The sequence below is a fragment of the Homo sapiens genome, chromosome 10 (assembly GCF_000001405.40).
Source record: "Homo sapiens chromosome 10, GRCh38.p14 Primary Assembly".
NCBI lineage: Eukaryota > Metazoa > Chordata > Mammalia > Primates > Hominidae > Homo > Homo sapiens.
Window position 1 is genome coordinate 29,618,050 of NC_000010.11, and position 18,010 is coordinate 29,636,059.

At 43.2% G+C, this 18,010-nt stretch overlaps 1 protein-coding gene across 4 annotated transcripts in view, besides 4 other annotated features; it reads right to left on the reverse strand.

The window, feature by feature from the left end:
* Positions 1 to 18,010, reverse strand: part of SVIL (supervillin) — a 279,599-nt gene that overhangs the window by 160,712 nt on the left and 100,877 nt on the right. The window contains exon 1 of one of the 4 annotated variants that reach the window (NM_021738.3): positions 16,371 to 16,922. The exons of the other annotated variants lie outside the window; for them this stretch is intronic. The gene's annotated coding sequence lies outside the window, so the exon portion shown is untranslated. Of the gene's footprint in view, positions 1 to 16,370; positions 16,923 to 18,010 lie in introns of those variants that run through there. 4 annotated transcript variants of the gene reach the window in all.
* Positions 27 to 657: an enhancer, noted in NCBI's record as "H3K27ac hESC enhancer chr10:29907005-29907635 (GRCh37/hg19 assembly coordinates)". NCBI's record gives its function as "activates a minimal SCP1, AML or CMV promoter by ChIP-STARR-seq in primed H9 embryonic stem cells {active_cell/tissue: H9 hESC(primed)}" and the evidence as "EXISTENCE:reporter gene assay evidence [ECO:0000049][PMID:30033119]".
* Positions 658 to 1,287: an enhancer, noted in NCBI's record as "H3K27ac hESC enhancer chr10:29907636-29908265 (GRCh37/hg19 assembly coordinates)". NCBI's record gives its function as "activates a minimal SCP1, AML or CMV promoter by ChIP-STARR-seq in primed H9 embryonic stem cells {active_cell/tissue: H9 hESC(primed)}" and the evidence as "EXISTENCE:reporter gene assay evidence [ECO:0000049][PMID:30033119]".
* Positions 3,040 to 3,790: an enhancer, noted in NCBI's record as "H3K27ac-H3K4me1 hESC enhancer chr10:29910018-29910768 (GRCh37/hg19 assembly coordinates)". NCBI's record gives its function as "activates a minimal SCP1, AML or CMV promoter by ChIP-STARR-seq in primed H9 embryonic stem cells {active_cell/tissue: H9 hESC(primed)}" and the evidence as "EXISTENCE:reporter gene assay evidence [ECO:0000049][PMID:30033119]".
* Positions 16,731 to 17,025: a silencer, noted in NCBI's record as "tiled region #354; K562 Repressive non-DNase unmatched - State 21:Repr". NCBI's record gives its function as "represses a minimal TATA promoter and a strong SV40 promoter by Sharpr-MPRA in K562 cells {active_cell/tissue: K562}" and the evidence as "EXISTENCE:reporter gene assay evidence [ECO:0000049][PMID:27701403]".

Consider the following 18,010-nt stretch of genomic DNA (forward strand, 5'->3'; position numbering starts at 1 on the left):
GGAGCTCGCTGACACAGGCAGGAGACCACTGTGTAAGGAGCTTGCTGACGCAGGCAGCAGAGCACTGTTCTCCTGGGGAGGCGGGCTAATCCTGTCCTCTTGAGGAGGGAGGGTGTTTAAATGCATTTGATTTTAGTGAAAGCTCTAGAAAGCGCCAAAAATCCAACAGCTGCACACAGTTCCGATTAGGAACCATGACCTCAACTCGTAATTTTTGGGAAAGGAGGATTTATTGTATTGTTTGTCAAATTCAAGTTTTATTTTATGTCCATAAAGCTGTGGAAAGGAAAACACCGTCTTTTCTGACTACAACAGGCTGTTTGCAGCTCCCTGACAATATGACACCCTGCTGAAGAAGCACAGCCTCTGGGGCTTCAGGTAGGATTTTTCTGGATTACTGGTTGCACAAAGCAAAAGTCAAAGCATGTTCAGACCCCAGCCTTCCTAAGCTCTGCTTCTCACACAGACCCACCATGCCTGGCCCAGCCTGGACGCTCTTGACCACCTTCAAAGCCCAAATGCCTTCTTTTCACTCATGTGTGACGACTATCTAGTTACAAGGATACAAGCAGTCCCCAGAGAATTTACTGGGTCTTTTCAGAGGCAATAGGCTCTGCCCCAAACCCTGGACTACTCCTTTCCTTCCAGGTTACAAATAAGCTCTTGCAGCAGATTTTTTTTTTTTTTTGAGACAAGGTGTCGCTTTGTCATCCAGGCTGGAGTGCGGTGGCGCAATCAGAGCTCACTGTAGCCTCAAACTCCTGGACTCAGGGAATTCCCGCCCCCTCAGCCTCCTGAGTAGCTGGGACTACGGGCATAGGCCACCGTAGACAGCTAATTTTCAGCAAACACCTTAACACAGAGAGCCAGTGTGGCCACCAAGTGCTCCACTGCCCCTTAAACAGGTAGGAAGGGGATTTTGGGCTAAAAGTGGCAACTCAAGATCCAGGTAGCTTTGTCTAAAGTAGCCCAGTAACAATCGAACCCCTGAACGGAAAGATAATCAAACACAGAACAAACCATGGCCATGGCCAGAGGCGCTAGAATTTAAACTGGAAGCCGTGAAAATTCTTTGAATTTCTTAGAGGACTGACAGAAGTCATTATGCGCAAAAAAAATTGTATTCCCCCAGTCATCCACGTTTACATTTTATGAGATACTTTGTTTGCTGAAGAATACACGTTTTAGGAGATTTTCAGTCCCAGAGAAGAAATATTTTCAAATGGATTGTGACTCCCTGCGGATGCGTATGTGAGGAAAACCAGGGATGTGAAGGTCAGGATTTTGTGCAAACTTTAATGACTCTTCTGCCAAAATGATTTTGTTCAGTTAAAACTAAAACTAACCAGACGTATGACACATATTTACAGTCAGGGTCAAGAGTGTTTACTCTTCAGCAGTTAGCTTTGAAAACAAAAGAGCTTTGACCACAGATGGACTGAAGGGAACCAAAGCTGGAATGGAGAGCTCCCTGGAAGTGTAAGAGCCAAACTCACAGCCCTGCTTTCCAAAGCCCACCACTTCCAGGAGTCGGCCATGAATTCAGATGATGAGCTTCGTGGCAATATCTATTTTTAAAGGCCAGCACACACATACAATATGATATGGTTTCCCTGAGAAAGCCACAACTGCCAAATAATTACCACATTTCTAATTTTAAATTTGAGTTAACAAACACCAAAGCATAAGCTGAGGGTTGATTTTAATTTTTGCTCTACTAAAATCAAACTCGATTGTCATGTACTCATTTTCTCCTCATTACAAACTACATTTTAAAAAATATTATGACAAACTACATTTTTAAAAAGATTATTGCAAACTACATTTTTTTTAAATGTGGATTTTTTTGGATGTTACGCATACATAGGTACACATACATGTATAATACATACATACACAAAGATAACAGAGAAGAAAAAATGACCAATCCTAAGAAGAAATAACAGCTTCTTTCCACAAGGTATCATGAAGCCTAGAAATCAGAATTCATGTTTCAAATTATAATAATTTTTAAAGTTTTTTTAGTATTAGCAATATTAAGAAAGCCATCAGAACCGTGTAAATGGAGACATATTATGTATATACTATGCATGTTTTAAAAATTATCATTGCACACATTAAAATCAGTCAAACTTACAGATATCCATAGCCATGTTGTTATGTCTTGAAGATGAAAGGGGAGAAACAGAAAGAGAATAAGAGAAAAGAGAATATAGGAAGAGATGAAGAGGAAAGAGGAGAGGAAAAGAGAAGGAAAAGGAAGGAAAAGAAAAGAAAGAAAAGAAGGGAAAAGAGAGGAAGGGAAAGGGGGAGAGAGAGCAAAAGGAAAGAGGTGGGAGAGAAAGGAGAGGACTCCCCTTATAGTGTCCCTAAATATTCACCCACCCTCTGACAAACCAAATAAGGGCAGGTGGCAACTCGGATAGTCAACTGTGCGGTTATTTTAAAAACGTTCATTCAGTGCAACAGCTGAGCTGAATTGTTTTTGATATATAGTCACCTAATCCAATTCAACTTGTGTATTCATCTACTCTTGATGCTAGGGTTAAGCAGGGGAAGTGAGGTATTATCCCTGCTTTTTATTTTTATTTTTTTGAGACGGAGTCTCACCCAGGCTGGAGTACAATGGCACGATCTCAGCTCACTGCAAACTCCACCTCCCGGGTTCAAATGATTCTCCTGCCTCAGCCTCCTGAGTAGCTGGGACTACAGGCGCCCACTACCACACCAAGCTATTTTTTGTATTTTTAGCAGAGATGGGGTTTCACCATGTTGGCCAGGCCGGTCTCAAACTCCTGACCTCGTGATCCACCCACCTCAGCCTCCCAAAGTGCTGGGATTACAGGTGTGAGCCACCACGCCCGGGCTATCCCTGACTTTTTAAATAAACTTTTTAAATTTGATTTTTTATTCTTAAAATTTTTTTTTTTTTTTTGTAGATATGGCGTCTCACTATATTTCCCAGGCTGGTCTCGAACTCTTGGCCTCAAGCAATTCTCCCACCTTGGCCTCCCAAAGTGCTGGGATTACAGGTGCACGCCCCACCCATCCTTGCCTTTGTATTCTGTGTATTTAATAATACATCACTACCTCCATGTAAGAATCAGGTAAATCTTGTACTTCTGAAAAATCACTCAAATTGTAGTTGAAAAGAAATGCAATGGAGAATGATCTCACTTGCCTGTGGTATTCTGTACCCAAGGACACTCACACGGTCTGTGAGCCTGCTCTGAGCTAGGAAAGTGCTGCGGGAAGGCAGGAACGCTTAATCCCAAGGGGAATTTCCCAACCAAAGCAGCAAGTTCCCCGAGGCTGGAGAGCTCTGTGCGTTGGCAGGGAGGGCATTCCAGAGCAGATGGAGAACACAGATGTGGAGGCACAGCAGGGGTCCCACCATGCTTGGGAAACAGGGGCTACCCCGCAGCGGGCCAAGCCCAAGGTGCAGAGGGAACCATGACTCTCAAGAGAGCATAAACAAAGACAACAGAGCAGAAAAGATGACCAGATCCCTCTAACAAGAAATAACAGCCTCTTTCCTCAAAGTACAATCATGTTTAAAAATTACATTCCAGGTTAACCAGGTTTTCAAGCTACCTCACAAAACCACATGGGCTGTGGGCCCATGGCAGGAGGAGGTCCACGACCTGGGGGTCTGGCCTCTTCTTGATCCTAATACACCCTCTGGCCCTGCATTTCCTACATAGCCCAAGAGTTCTCATCCTCTTCTGTTGTGAGCTCATTTTAATAATAAAGATTTATGAGGAAAAGCTAAATATATGCGCACGCACACACACATACAAACACACACAATCACAGACACAAATATGCATACATACAGAAACACACACACAAGCACACATACACGTAGACATACACAAACATCAGTGACTTGGGAGCAGCAAAGAACCTTGGAAACACTGGCCGGGCGCGGTGGCTCACGCCTGTAATCCCAGCACTTTGGGAGGCCGAGGCGGGCGGATCACGAGGTCAGGAGATCGAGACCATCCTGGCTAACACGGTGAAACCCCGTCTCTACTAAAAATACAAAAAATTAGCCGGGCGTGGTGGCGGGCGCCTGTAGTCCCAGCTACTCGGGAGGCTGAGGCAGGAGAATGGCGTGAACCCGGGAGGCGGAGCTTGCAGTGAGCCGAGATCGCGCCACTGCACTCCAGCCTGGGCGACAGAGTGAGACTCCGTCTCAAAAAAAAAAAAAAAAAAAAAAAAAAGAACCTTGGAAACACTGAAGGTCAATCTCTCGTTTTTCAGGTGAGAAAACTGCCTGGGAATCTAAGTGGCTTGTACAGGTGACAAGCGCACCATCTCTTCTTATGATCATCCCGCCCGGCTCCACACACATTCTAAACTGTCAGAGGTTTATGAGTTGCAGACATTTGGGAGGAAAATACATGATATCCTTAGTAGCCACAGCAGGTACTCCAAAATCATTGGAAGGAATGAATAAATAATGAAACTTTGGCACAGTTCGCTGGGTAATCACAAGATCTCACACAAGCCATCAACACAGAAAGATCTAATCATGCACATCACAGCCCTGGTTCCCAGAGGACAACTTTAGTTTCCATCCATACGTTTAAACACGTCGAAAGCAAAAACAAACAAAACGCTATTTAAGCTAATGTCTCCCAGAACAACACCATGACCTTAAACCGAAACACAAACGTAGGAAAGAACAACCAAGCAGCCAAAGGACACGTTGTCAACAGAGACTGCAATCCCCCTAGTTCCCCAAACCACTCTGTCCCGGAATTCAAAGCACCTCCATGCAAACCGCTCCCTAAGCGAGAGCTGCCTTGTGAAGTGAGCTTGGAGCATTCAACTCAAGCGTTATTAGTGATGCTGAGATTGCACAGCATGGATCTTCAAATCCATAATTCAAAATGCAGAAATGAACATTTTATGTTTTCGGGACACAAAGAACCTACAAAACTGTATCCAGTGTGTGTGCGAGTGTGTGTGTGTGCATGCTTGCACTGGGTGTGTGTATATGTGAAAGAAATAAGGAATCCCCAGGAAATTTTCCCCTAATACAATAAGCTTCCATTTCTTTTGAAAAACACAGTATTTTAGATTTTTCCTCTGCTATCCAAGTATGACAAATTACATGGATAGGTCAATAGGCAATGCATGGCAGTTTTTCAGTTCCTATCAGCAGATGCAAAGTGCAAATCCACTTCCTCTGGTCCTGTGCTGTCCAACAAAAGGGGCCACTGCAATTCTGACTAATTAACATGAAGTCAAGGTTAAGGTCTAATTCCTCAGTGGCACTTGCTACCAGTGGCTAGGGGCTACCCAACAGAACAGTACCAGTTTGAGAATACACCCATCAACAGATTGTCCAGTTCTACTGGCCAGTACTAAGTCAGGCCCCATGGGTTGTTCTGATCTCATTTCAGTGGAGGATGGGACCCATTAGGAGCCGTAAGGCTCAGCTGGGTGTTATCTGGAGCCATCCAGGCACGTCTAAGCTCTTCATTTCTATAGAAACACAGTCATTTGCCAGGCAGGCGCGGAGGCTCACGCCTGTAATCCCAGCACTTTAGGAGGCCAAGGCGGGTGGATCATGAGGTCAGGAGATTGAGACCATCCTGGCTAACACGGGGAAACCCCATCTCTACTAAAAATACAAAAAAAATTAGCCAGGCATGGTGGCACGCGCCTGTAGTCCAGCTACTCGGGAGGCTGAGGCAGGAGAATGGCTTGAACCCAGGAGGGGGAGGTTGCAGTGAGCCGAGATCACACCACTGCACTCCAGCCCGGGCCACAGAGCAAGACTCCATCTCAAAAACAACAACAACAAAAGAAACACAGTCATTTGCCATGGTGGTCCCTTAAGATTACAATGGCTACACCATCAACCGTAGTATGTAGTGGGCTGTACCATCTAGGTTTGTGGAAATGCACTCCATGATGGTTGCAGAATGACGAAATCACCCAAGGACATATTTCTCAGCAGGTACTCCTGTTGTTAAGCAACATATGACTAATCAGAATGTGACTTTTCCTCACATGCATTTGTTCTTCACTTTTTGGGAGTCACAGCCCCTTTAAGAAGAGTAATGAAAACAATGGATGCTCTCCTTTATTAAATGAGCTTTCAAAAAAAAAAAAAAAACCCCTAGCATTTTCCATATGGTTTTGGGGAGATATTCTAACATTCTAAAGCTTGTTCTTGGACCCCAGTTTAAAAACCATCTGCTTGGCTCACACATGTAATCCCAACCCTCTGGGAGGCCGAGGTGGGTGGATCACCTGAGGTCAGGAGTTCAAGACCAGCCTGGCCAACATGGCGAAACCCCATCTCTACTAAAAATACAAAAATTAGCCGGGTGTGGTGGCACACACCTGTAATCCCAGCTACTCAGGAGGCTGAGGCAGAAGAATCACCTGAATGTGGGAGGCAGAGGTTGCAGTGAGCTGAGATCGATCATGTCAGCCTGGGCGACAGAGTGAGACTTCGTCTCAAAAACAAAACAAAACAAAAAACGCCTGCTCAACAAAATCATTTACAGTGCTCATTTGAAACACAACTTCCCAGCAATAACAATTTGACTTCACCTGCCTTAGGTTACTGTTTTTTAAAAGTAAAAACAAAGTCTCATTAAAAAAAAAAATGAGCTCATTAATGGTAGAAATTATCATCAATGCTCATGTTAGCCAGGGAGATGCTGCATGCATAAAAGTTAGCTTAGAAAACTCTCTCCTTTAAAATACCACGGTAATTTGTTCTCCACATATCTTAGGGCATCCATTTACCATCTGATTATTATTTTCATGTGGAGAGCTACTGAATAAATTGTAATTTACTTTTAATGAAATAATTATCTTGTGAAGGACAAATGTTGAAATGTTTAAGGCCCCATGAACCAAGCAATCTCTTTCAACTTGGGCAAAATTAAACGTAAAAATAGTACTAACATAAAGGTAGGCAGAAGGCAGATCTAGCTTATATACAATCAGCTTCACCCAGTGATAGAAGTGACCAGGTGAATCGTCTTAAAAAGAAAAAAAAAACACACAGAAAGATTACAGACTCCAAAGTTTCAGTTGTAAGTTACATTCTCTGACATGATTAGTGACACACAATAGTTCATCCAATGTTACTAAACTCCTTCTAAAATCATCTCAAAGTCTTCAGTTAAGACTACCTTTCTTTTTAACTTTTGCTAAGTTTAATAAAGTTCTGAGACAAAGTCTGAAAGTAAGAAAGAAGTAAAGTGGATCCAATGATTTATTTCTGTAACATCCTGCTTGATATCAACATCAACCTTTGCCTTGGTAATGAAATCAACGTTTTATAGACCGAATGTTATGATAGCAGAGAAAGCATGAATTTTAAAAATAGAGAGAGATGGGTACTTGACTTGTACTTGCCTCAAGTATACATATATATATATTTTTTTTCCTTTTTTTTGAGACGGAGTCTCACTCTGTTGCCCAGGCTGGAGTGCAGCGGCGCGATCTCTGCTCACTGCAAGCTCTGCCTCCTGGGTTCACGCCATTCTCCTGCCTCAGCCTCCCGAGTAGCTGGGACTACAGGTGCCCACCACCATGCCCGATAATTTTTTGTATTTTTAGTAGAGACGAGGTTTCACCATGTTATCCAGGATGGTCTCGATCTCCTGATCTCGTGATCCACCCGCCTTGGCCTCCCAAAGTGCTGGGACTACAGGCATGAGCCACCACGCCCAGCCTCAAACATATATTTTGAAATGCGTATAAGCTTTATCAGTATGAATTCTAGGGGAAGAGAGAATTTCAGAAGATACAAAATGCAAACTGTAGGAGGATACAAAGCCTTACAAGTGTCTCCTTTGGTTAGGAACCATGCCGGGTTTTTTGGGGTCTTTTTTCAGCTTTGAGGTATAATTCACAAATGCAAATTGTATATACTCAAGGTGTGCAGCATGATGTTTTGATATAAAAGCTGAACTCACAGAAACAAAATGGAAAGGTGGTAACCAGGGGCTGGAGGTAGGAGAAATTGGAAAGACATTGGTCAAAGGATGCAAACTTGTAGTTACGAGTAAGTTCTGGAAACCTAAGGTATAGCATGGTGACTATAGTTGCTAACAATGTATTATATATTTAAAATTTGCCAAGAAGTAGATCTTAAGTTTTCTCAAGGCACACACACACGGTTATGGCCCCTACATCAGACACACATAACTATGTGAAACCATGGTAGGTATTTTACATTTTGTTATTAACCTAAGCACTTGAACAACAGATGTAGGGCTGAAGATCAAGAGAATCGCTCAGGGTACTTTAGTACCATTCCATTGGAACTTAAACGCTACGAGGGCAGGAATTTTGTTTCCCACCGCTCTTTCCCCAACACCTATACCAGTCCCTGACACACAGTAAGTGCTCAGAAAACAACTGTTGAGAATAAATGAATACCTGGCAGTGAACTAATAAACTCAAAGGGAAACGAAAGCCAAGCACATCCCATCTTGTTGTGAACACGAAGATTCTGACGGTCTCAGGCATCCCTGAGCGAGTCTGCTGTGACCACTTTGGGGTTTCACATCAGGAGAAAAAACAAATGTCCAAAAGAAGATAAAAATAAATTAGGTTAGAGAAAAGAAAATAGACATACTTAAATGAACACAAAAGAAACTATGAGAGCTTAATTTAAAGAGGTGTCAGAAACTTTCCAAAATAAAGAATCAGGCTGGGCGCGGTGGCTCAGGCCTGTAATCCTAGCACGTTGGGAAGCGGAGGCGGGTGGATCACGAGGTCAGGAGATCAAGACCATCCTGGCTAATACGGTGAAACCCCGTCTCTACTAAAAATACAAAAAGTTAGCTGGGCGTGGTGGCGGGCGCCTGTAGTTCCAGCTAGTCAGGAGGCTGAGGCAGGAGAATGGTGTGAACCCGGGAGGCGGAGCTTGCAGTGAGCCGAGATTGCGCCACTGAGCTCCAGCCTGGGAGACTGAGCGAGACTCCATCTCAAAAAAATAAAATGAAAATAAAATAAAATAAAATAAAATAAATAATAAGAATCAAAGACAAAGAATGATTATGAAGCCATCAGAGAAGGGAGAAACAGTCTGTGTATTTCAACAGAAACAAGCAAGGACAGTGAGAGGACTTTTTAAAAAAGATCTTCTTTCTCAACACATTTCTAATTTGTTCCTGCTCTCCCACCTTGAACTACTACCTTCCAGATACAAGGTGTTGCCTTTCCAAGGAAGACAGATTATTCTCGATCTCTGAAACCTTTGGATTACAGAATCCCAATACGTAAAAGGGGTCTTAAAAATCCTCTAGTCCAACCCTTGTTTGAATGAATGAGGCCACTGAGGCTCAGAGAGGTTAAGAATTTACCCAAGGTCACACAGCTGGTTATTCATGAAAATCAATGTTCCTCCTTCTTTCTCTGGCCATTGACACCTTCAATTTCCAGATAAAATCTTCCTCCTGCACCGAGAGCAGGGAAAACACTTCTTTGGACTTTTGGGGAGGTAGGTGAATGAATGAAGGAAACAAAGCATGTTGGCTGTTATGGCCCCTACATCACTTTGCTCTGCTGTGTTCTCCACGCCACGTGCCCACTGCAACTTCCTTTTGAAATATTTAAGAATAGTTGGCTGCCTGAAAGCTCTCTGATGCCTCTGGAGTGAAGACCTGATACAAATCCAAATTAATAAATTCCATCTCAAATGGGAGAATCCTGTGTTGGGTAAAGTACATCCCATGAAGCTGAGTCACCCTATTCTGAAGCACAATGACCAATTTTATCTAATCACAGAATTTTAAAATATTCAGCACTTCCAATAAAAAATGTATGAAATCATAAATCCAAATGGTTATGTGTGTGTGGCTAAAATGAACATCCGGGGGAAATTAAGACTATCAGCACAATTTAGAGAGCTAGCTGCTTCTTAACGGTACAGCCAAGCCTTTTTTTCTAACCTGGCTCAAACCTATAGAGTTATTAGCTGGTTTAGATGTCTGATGCAATATTTGCAAACAAATTGAATTAATTGCAAAATAAACAAATGTAGCTGAATTTTGCAACCAACATAGCACACAGTAAACTAAACTATCAGCTTAACTCAAACAAAAAATTCCTAAGAAAATTTATATCCAAAACCACTAAAACATTCAGATGTCATTTTCACTTTCATAACCTACCTCTTAATTCAACATATTTTAAGCTACTGAAAATCAAGTGCTTTCCCATTTGGGTTTTGGCTGGAGCGGTTTGTTTGTTTTGGAGTAACAGGTGTGCAACTGCAACATGTATATGTCTTAAATTTTTGGCTGAGATAAATTAGATATAATGTTTCAGAATGTATGAAAGAGTATTTACTTAAAATTTTGAAATATTTAAAGTATGTGAGATCTTAAAAACCTAAAAATATCAATATGGTTTTTCTATTCAATGACTGTATCTATCCATCCAAGCCTAAGTTATTTGCCAACTTTCCATGCTCAGAACGTAATTGAAAGTCCAGAAAGAAACGAGAGGCCTCTGATGAACCTAAACACAGTTCACAAATCGTAGGTGCATTATTAATAAAAAGCCCTTTGGGTCTTCGCCCAGAACCGAATTGTTCTTTTCTATTGATAGCAGATACAGAGGATACAAATTCTCACACAGCTAATTGGGAGTTAATTTCTACTTACAAACAGAAAATCAGTTCTAAAAGCCAAATGAATGCATTCCACCTGAAATGGACATGTTGAACAATTCACCTTATAAAGAGGAACACCAGGATTTTTTAAAAAATCTTAAATGGACCTTAAGAAGGAAAGCTGAGCAAGCAAAGAGACAGAAAATGATTTTTAAAATAAGGCCGCCAGGAGACCTCAAGATCACAGCAGGGTGTGGATGCTGAGTATGGAGGTCAGAGCCCCATCACCCTCACTAGACCTGAGATGGGATTCTCACGGAGAGGGGTTCCATCCCAGGGAGGCTGCGGGGACATCAAAGTAACCAGGAGGTCTTGAAAGGTGTCCAAGAGGAGAAGACAGAAGAGCTCCTGATCAGTGCTGAGGAGTGAGTGGGCAGGAAAGAAAGAAGTGATCGCTTGAGGTCAAGGGGAGCTTTATTTAGAATGGATGAAACCTGAGGATGTTTTCAACACAAGGAGAAGCCAGGAGAAGAGCAGAGTGGAAAATAAGACAAACGGGAGAGAATGGTGTAGGTAGAGAGCGGGAAGGGGTGGCATGAAAAGCCTAGAGGAACAGAGGAGCCTTGAAAGACTCCTTCTCCTCCTCGGAAGCCCCCTTCGAGTCCCGCACCCCAGCTGGTTGCTTCCATCTCAGGCACGTGGCAAAGAATTAACCTAAGGCGGCTCAAAGCAGGTCCTCAGACAGGAATTAGCATCACCTGGATCCTGTTTGTTGAATCTCTAAGTCCAGTGCAGACCTACTGAATCAGACGCTGCAGTAACAAGACTGCAGGTGATTCCTATTAAAGTTTGGGCTGCACTGGCTAAAGCAGCGGTTATGAATACAGGCACTGAAGTCAACTAGATCTGGGTTCAAATCCAGCTGGATTTGGGCACATGGTATGTGCCCAAGCTTGGGCAAGCATTTCTAACCCTCAGTTTTTTCCTCAGTAGAATGAAGACAATTGCACTAATATTTCTTGGGGGCTACTGTAAAAATTAGAGTCCGGGCGTGGTGGCTCACACCTGTAATCCCAGTGCCTTGAGAGGCCTTAATGGGAGGATAGCTTGAGGCCAGGAGCTCAAGACCAGCCTGAGCAACATAGTGAGACCCCTGCCTCTAGAATTTTTTTTTTTAATTAGCTGGGCATAGTAGTGATTGCCTATAGTCCCAGCTACTCGGGAGGCTGAGGAAGGAGGAATGCTTGAGCCCAGGAGTTCGAGGCTGCAGTGAACCATGGTCATGCCATTGCATTCCAACCTGGGTGACCAGGCAAGACTGTCTCAAAAAATAAAAATAATTAAGTGATATATTGTAGAGGTAAAGAGTGTGGCATTAAGTCTGGCACACAGTAATAATGGATGGCATGTTATTATTGTTCATCCCTTCTACTCTGACTGGTAAAATAGCTCCATTACATCCCTGTCCGAGACACTCTGGGAAAGAGGCTGCCAATGAGAGGGAATACGCTATAGGCTTCTGCATCCCACAGGACCCACCCGGAGCTCTGCACAGGGAAAGTGCCCCAAAAATATGGACTGAAATGAATGTACCCAGGGCTGTGACATGGGCAGACCAATGATCCCAAAGCAAATATGGAAACTATTTCTTTTACTATATTTACACAAAAACCAGTTAGACATAGGTTATAAACTTGTTTGGGATTAAAGGATCAACTTTCAGAAGGGGACAAGCACATTAGGAGGAAAAAGAATGCCTCTTTCAAAACCTCCTACAATAGGGAGTGTCTCTAAGAGGGACAGAGATCTCTCTGAACCAATACTAAAGAGCCCCTGAGATCAACAGTGCAAACTGCTCCTGAGATGTGTGACCCAAGTTGAAGTTGACTGTATGGGTAAAACACTTAGGTCAAATTGCACCACTAGATGAGTTTCTTCATTTTAGGCAAAGTTCCAATAATGAAGTGACTGACTTCATGCGGCACACCTTAATTTCCCGGTTGGCAAAAGCACGTGTACAGAAACCCCATATACAGAAACCCCATCGGACTTGTTACCGCAACACGAACGTTTCTGCTTGCATTGTCATAGATGAAGGAAAAAAAAGGAGAACTTATAACACAGAACACCAGCTTCTACTGTGAGTAATATAGGATGAGGGCAAAAGTACTGGATGGATCACAGCCAAATTTCGATATGAAGAACCCACAAGTCGTTACAATTCAATCCGTTCAAACAACTCACATTTCTGGATTGCCCACTGGGCTAGACCCTGGGGGTGGTAAGAGAAGTGAGACCCAAGCACCTCACTGGGTACCCTGCTGCCAAGGAAAGGGCCACCAGGACCTAGTGACTGCAGCCCTAGAGTACAGGCTGGAGTCGAGGCCCAGGAGGCCAGAGGCATGTCAGAGGAAGCTTCTGGCACATCTCCTTTGATATTGCTTCCCTGGCAGGCAAGAGAAGACAACATTTTGGGGAGACTTGCCAACAGAACTCCAGGGGCATGAAAGACCCTGAAGGGGAGGCTACAGAGCCCAGGCTTTTGCATGTAAGCAGTGAGGAACGATGAGGGTTTGGCCCTGGCCGAGTGCAAGATGAGATCTTTGTTTAGGAAGGTCATTCTGTGGCTAGACCAGACGGAGGAGAAACCGAGGGCCAAGGGATCCATTAAGGGCAAAGCAGTAGCCCAGGTAAGAGATGGCGAGGCGAGGCCAGGCGCGGTGGCTCATGCCTGTAATCCCAGCACTTTGGGAGGCCGAGGTGGGCAGATCATGAGGTCAGGATTTCGAGACCAGCCTGACCAACATGGTGAAACCCCATCTTTACTAAATATACAAGAATTAGCCGGGCGTGGTGGCGGACACCTGTAATCCCAGCACTTTGGGAGGCCGAGGTGGGCAGATCATGAGGTCAGGATTTCGAGACCAGCCTGACCAACATGGTGAAACCCCATCTTTACTAAATATACAAGAATTAGCCGGGCGTGGTGGCGGACACCTGTAATCCCAGCTACTCAGGAGGCTGTGGCAGGAGAATCCCTTGAACCCGGGAGGCAGGGATTGCAGTGAGCCGAGATTGTGCCATTGCACTCCAGCTTGGCTGACAGAGTGAGACTCCATCTCAAAAAAATAAAAAATAAAAAAGATGGCGAGGCTTAAGAGGAGGTGGTGGGGCAGAGGCCTCGGGGACCTAAAGGGAGAGGAGTCAAGGGTGACCAGAAGATTCCTAGTTGAGTCACAAATCAATGAAGCCCAGAACTGCTGGAAAGTTCTAGACCTACGGATACTCCCAGTCACAGCAAGGCACCCTGAGATCAGCGCTTTAACATAAAATTGCAATGAGTGTCCTAAAATCCCAGGCAGCTGCAGATTCAGGAGATGATTCCAAGGCTGCCTTTGTACCCTAACAATCACAAGGCTCCTAGCAGCTTACTCTCCATAACGCTCCATGTAGCCCGAGAGCCCTGCATGCTGGAGCTCACCAGACATCCTTATAAAAATCCCAAGGGCCCTTTCCTTTGGATGCAATTCCTCAACTGTAGAATATTAAATAACTCGCCGGGTGTGGTGGCTCATGCCTGTAATCCCAGAACTTTGGGAGGCCGAGCGCTGGTAGATCACCTGAGGTCAGGAGTTCAAGACCAACCTGGGCAACATGATGAAACCCTGTCTCTACTAAAAATACAAAAATTAGCTGGGCGCAGTGGCATATGCCTGTAATCCCAGCTAGTAGGGAGGCTGAGGCAGGAGAATCACTTCAGCCCAAGAGGTGGAGGTTGCAGTGAGCTGAGATTGTGTCATTGCACTCCAGCCTGGGCAACAGAGCAAGACTCCATCTCAAAAAAAAAAAAAAGAAAAAAGAAAAAAAGAATACTATATAACCCCAGGTGTTGCCAAAGATGTTCACTCTGAATTGAACTCCAAAGTCTTCCAGAAGTCTGTTTATCACAAAACAGTCTGTCTCCAAAGTAGAAGCAAAGATAAAGAACTGTTTGTTGAATGGCTGACTGATGTCCACTGCAAGCTGAGCGCATTAACCAAATTTCACTTGGAAGACTATGCATGTGGCAAAATTAAATGCACCAATAGTACTAAATAAAGGTAGGCAGGAAGGCACCTAATGTACTACAATAGCTTGTATAACATCAGCCTCATCCAGTGATCAAGGTGACCAAATAAATTATCTTTAACACACACACACACACACACACAGAGTATAGACTCCAAAGTTTCCATTGTAAGACAAATTCTCTGACACTAGTGCACACTTGATGCCCTGGATCCTCAAGACATCACCGGGTGCCGGGTGCAGGGGCTCACGCCTATAATCCCAGCACTTTGGGAGCCCAAGGTGGGCGGATCACGAGGTCAGGAGTTCAAGATCAGCCTGGCCAACATAGTGAAACCCCGTCTCTACTAAAAATACAAAAAAAAATTAGCTGGATATGGTGCCAGGTGCCTGTAATCCCAGTTACTTGGGAGGTTGAGGCAAGGAGAGTCACTTGAACCTGGGAGGTGGAGGTTGCAGTGAGCCGAGATCGTGCCACTGCACTCCAGCCTGGGTGACAGCACGAGACTCCATCTCAAAAAAAAAAAAAAAAAAAAAAGACATCACTGGTTTTGGTGAGAAGAGACAGCACACATCTGCCTGGCACTGGGCTGCTCTTCTTTGGAGACAGAGGGTACAATTTATATCCTGCAGTTTTACTCAACAGGGGATACCACCAGCAGTTTGGCCAGGGTAATGCTGTATGGGACTGTCCCCTACACCATGTAAATTGGGCATTTACAATTCTTAACCACATCCTCCCAAATGCCAGTGAGTCATTGAGAAAACCTGAAACACCCCCATGCATTTTCAAACGCCCCCTAGGGTTGCCACACTATCTCCGGTGAAGAACCCTCGCAGTATTCACCGATGAAGTTCTTCTCTATAAATACTCTGTTTTCCTACCTGGTAAAAATAATGACTGCCCGTACTTGTCCATCTGATGTGGTATAAAGAAATAATCTTTTTTTTTTTTCAAAGAAGCAACACGTCAAATAAGCCTTCTATGTTCTAGAGTTCACTGCTGTTTTTCAGCAGAAACAAATCACTGAGCTAAATTACAAAGAGACCATAGCAATCTCCAGGGCTTTAAAAGGCTGATGCAGTATTTTTTCTTGGAGAATTTAAAAATAAAATGCAGTTCAAACTCTAGAACCTACAGTGAGGTTTTTCTCATAAATTCTGGAACATCGCAAGTTCTAGAAATCAAGCCCTGAAGAATGAGAGTACCAAGGCAAAGAACCCTCAGAACAAAGATTATGCAAAAGGATCACTGGTGATTTTCTATTTTTACATGAATTATAATGGCAGTGAAATAAAACTTGCCCTTCTGAACTCCACCCCCATACTTGTGCTACGATTATTAAAGTACGTTGCATTGTGAATATACTTTAATTCCAAGACTTTAAGTGCTAACATTTAGACAGAATGTACTAAGTTATATTAATCAAATTTTTAGTATTAAACCTTTCTCTACCATAAAGTAAATCCTTTAAAAAAAAAAAAAAGTCCAATCCTTCTCAACCCAAGAAATATGCCCAAGGGTATCTACAGGAATGGCTGCAGTAACTGGCAAACGCTGGCAGGAATTTTCCAATGACTGAAGTCAACAAATCCTCAGGAAACATGCTCAGACAGATGGCACTTAAAAAAAAGCAAAAACAAAAACAACAAAAAAAAACCTACTGCATTTAGATTTATAGGAAGATTTTTCACTTACTTCAAATTTCTGTATAATCCTCGTTCCTCTAAGTTAAAGGGGGAAAGAAAATCACACTGCAATTCCTTATTTTTCTAATTTAAAAAACAAAACAAAACACGTTATACCCTCGAATCCAGCTTTTGATGTCTTCGAGTATTTTCTTGGAGTCTCTTTCCAATGAATACTACTTTCAAATTCTAAGCACAAAGTAAAATCCCAAAAGTTAGCCCAAATAGCGTTGTACAAAATCAAAGATCACGATGTCAGCAAGCAACTGCATCTATCAGAAGCGATGATGATTCAGAACAGGATAAATTTAGAATGGTGTTTTCCAAAAGGCTTTTTGGATGTCAAATTCAGGAAACAGGTAAAGGCTACATCCCAAAAGTTCCTCTCCAAAAAGAACGCCAAAATATTAATAAAAAGAGTCTTCTTTTTGAAGTTTTTCGTCCCCTAGTGTCCTCGAGGCTGAACTTCCCCAACCTGGCCTCGGTGGAGCCATCCATTACTGGGCAAATCCACATGAAACCTGAGGACACTTCAGCCTGGGGAGGACGCAGTCAGAGCAGTGAAGCAACTTCACATGGGACGGGCCTTTTATGGCCTGAACTCGAGAGCCTTGATACCAGCTCATCTACCAGAAATAGCCCTGGAAATTCAGAGGAGCCCATCAGCTGTTGCAGCAGGCCTGGCCAGCAGCTACTTCAAATGCAATTAGGTTGTCCACACTGTCTTTCAGCTTGTTGTATAGAGAAATTAAAAATACAACAGCAGTCTACTGAATAAGCTACAACAATACAGATTTGGATGAGCAAACATTTCTCTAACTTAGTTTTTTTAGGCTAAAAAAAGAGCACACAATCGTTGACAAAGCTCAGACACTGAACACCCCAAAAGTAAGTAACAGACATATATACAATGAATGCCCGAAAAGTAACTAACAGACATACACATCTATGAAACAGCATGATATAATGGCACATGTCTCTACAAGTTTACAAATTCTGTAACCTCTGTGGATTTCTTCCCACTTCCAATAACTGTAGAAAATGAATCATCAGAAGAAAGCATTGTGCTGGAAGTACTTTCTCGAAAATGACACAAATATTTTCTCTTAAAGCCAAAGTCAGTCCTCTGAACTGGCAAGATCTATCTTCCTATGGCTCTCAGGTAGCTCACCTCACTGAAAAACCAGATGAACCTAACCTAATGAAAAAAATATTAACTATGAAGCACAACCACTTCTTAAATGGCCATATGCATTTTTTTAAACATTAAAAGGCCACTGACATGTTGAATACACTCAAACAAATATCACAACCCTGTTTACAAAATACTTACAATTGTAGGTCTCTGTCCCTGTCGGTACCAAGAACAGAGAGTCTTAATTGTCTGCACCAACTTCAGTATAAACCACAAACCCCATAAGACTTGGGCTGGAGTACAGCAAAAGCTGTGTGCTGCGCGGGGCCTCCCAGTGGTATGCCTCTGGGTGTCAGGGTTCTCAGACCACCAGCTGCTTCGGCCAGCACAGGAGGCCTCTCAAAGCAGGATCTAAATTCCTGTTACTAATTAACCCTACAGAACAATGCCTCTCCCTAAGAGGACAGTCCTGAGGCCAGGTGAAAAGATGACAGGTATAATAATTAAACATTGGC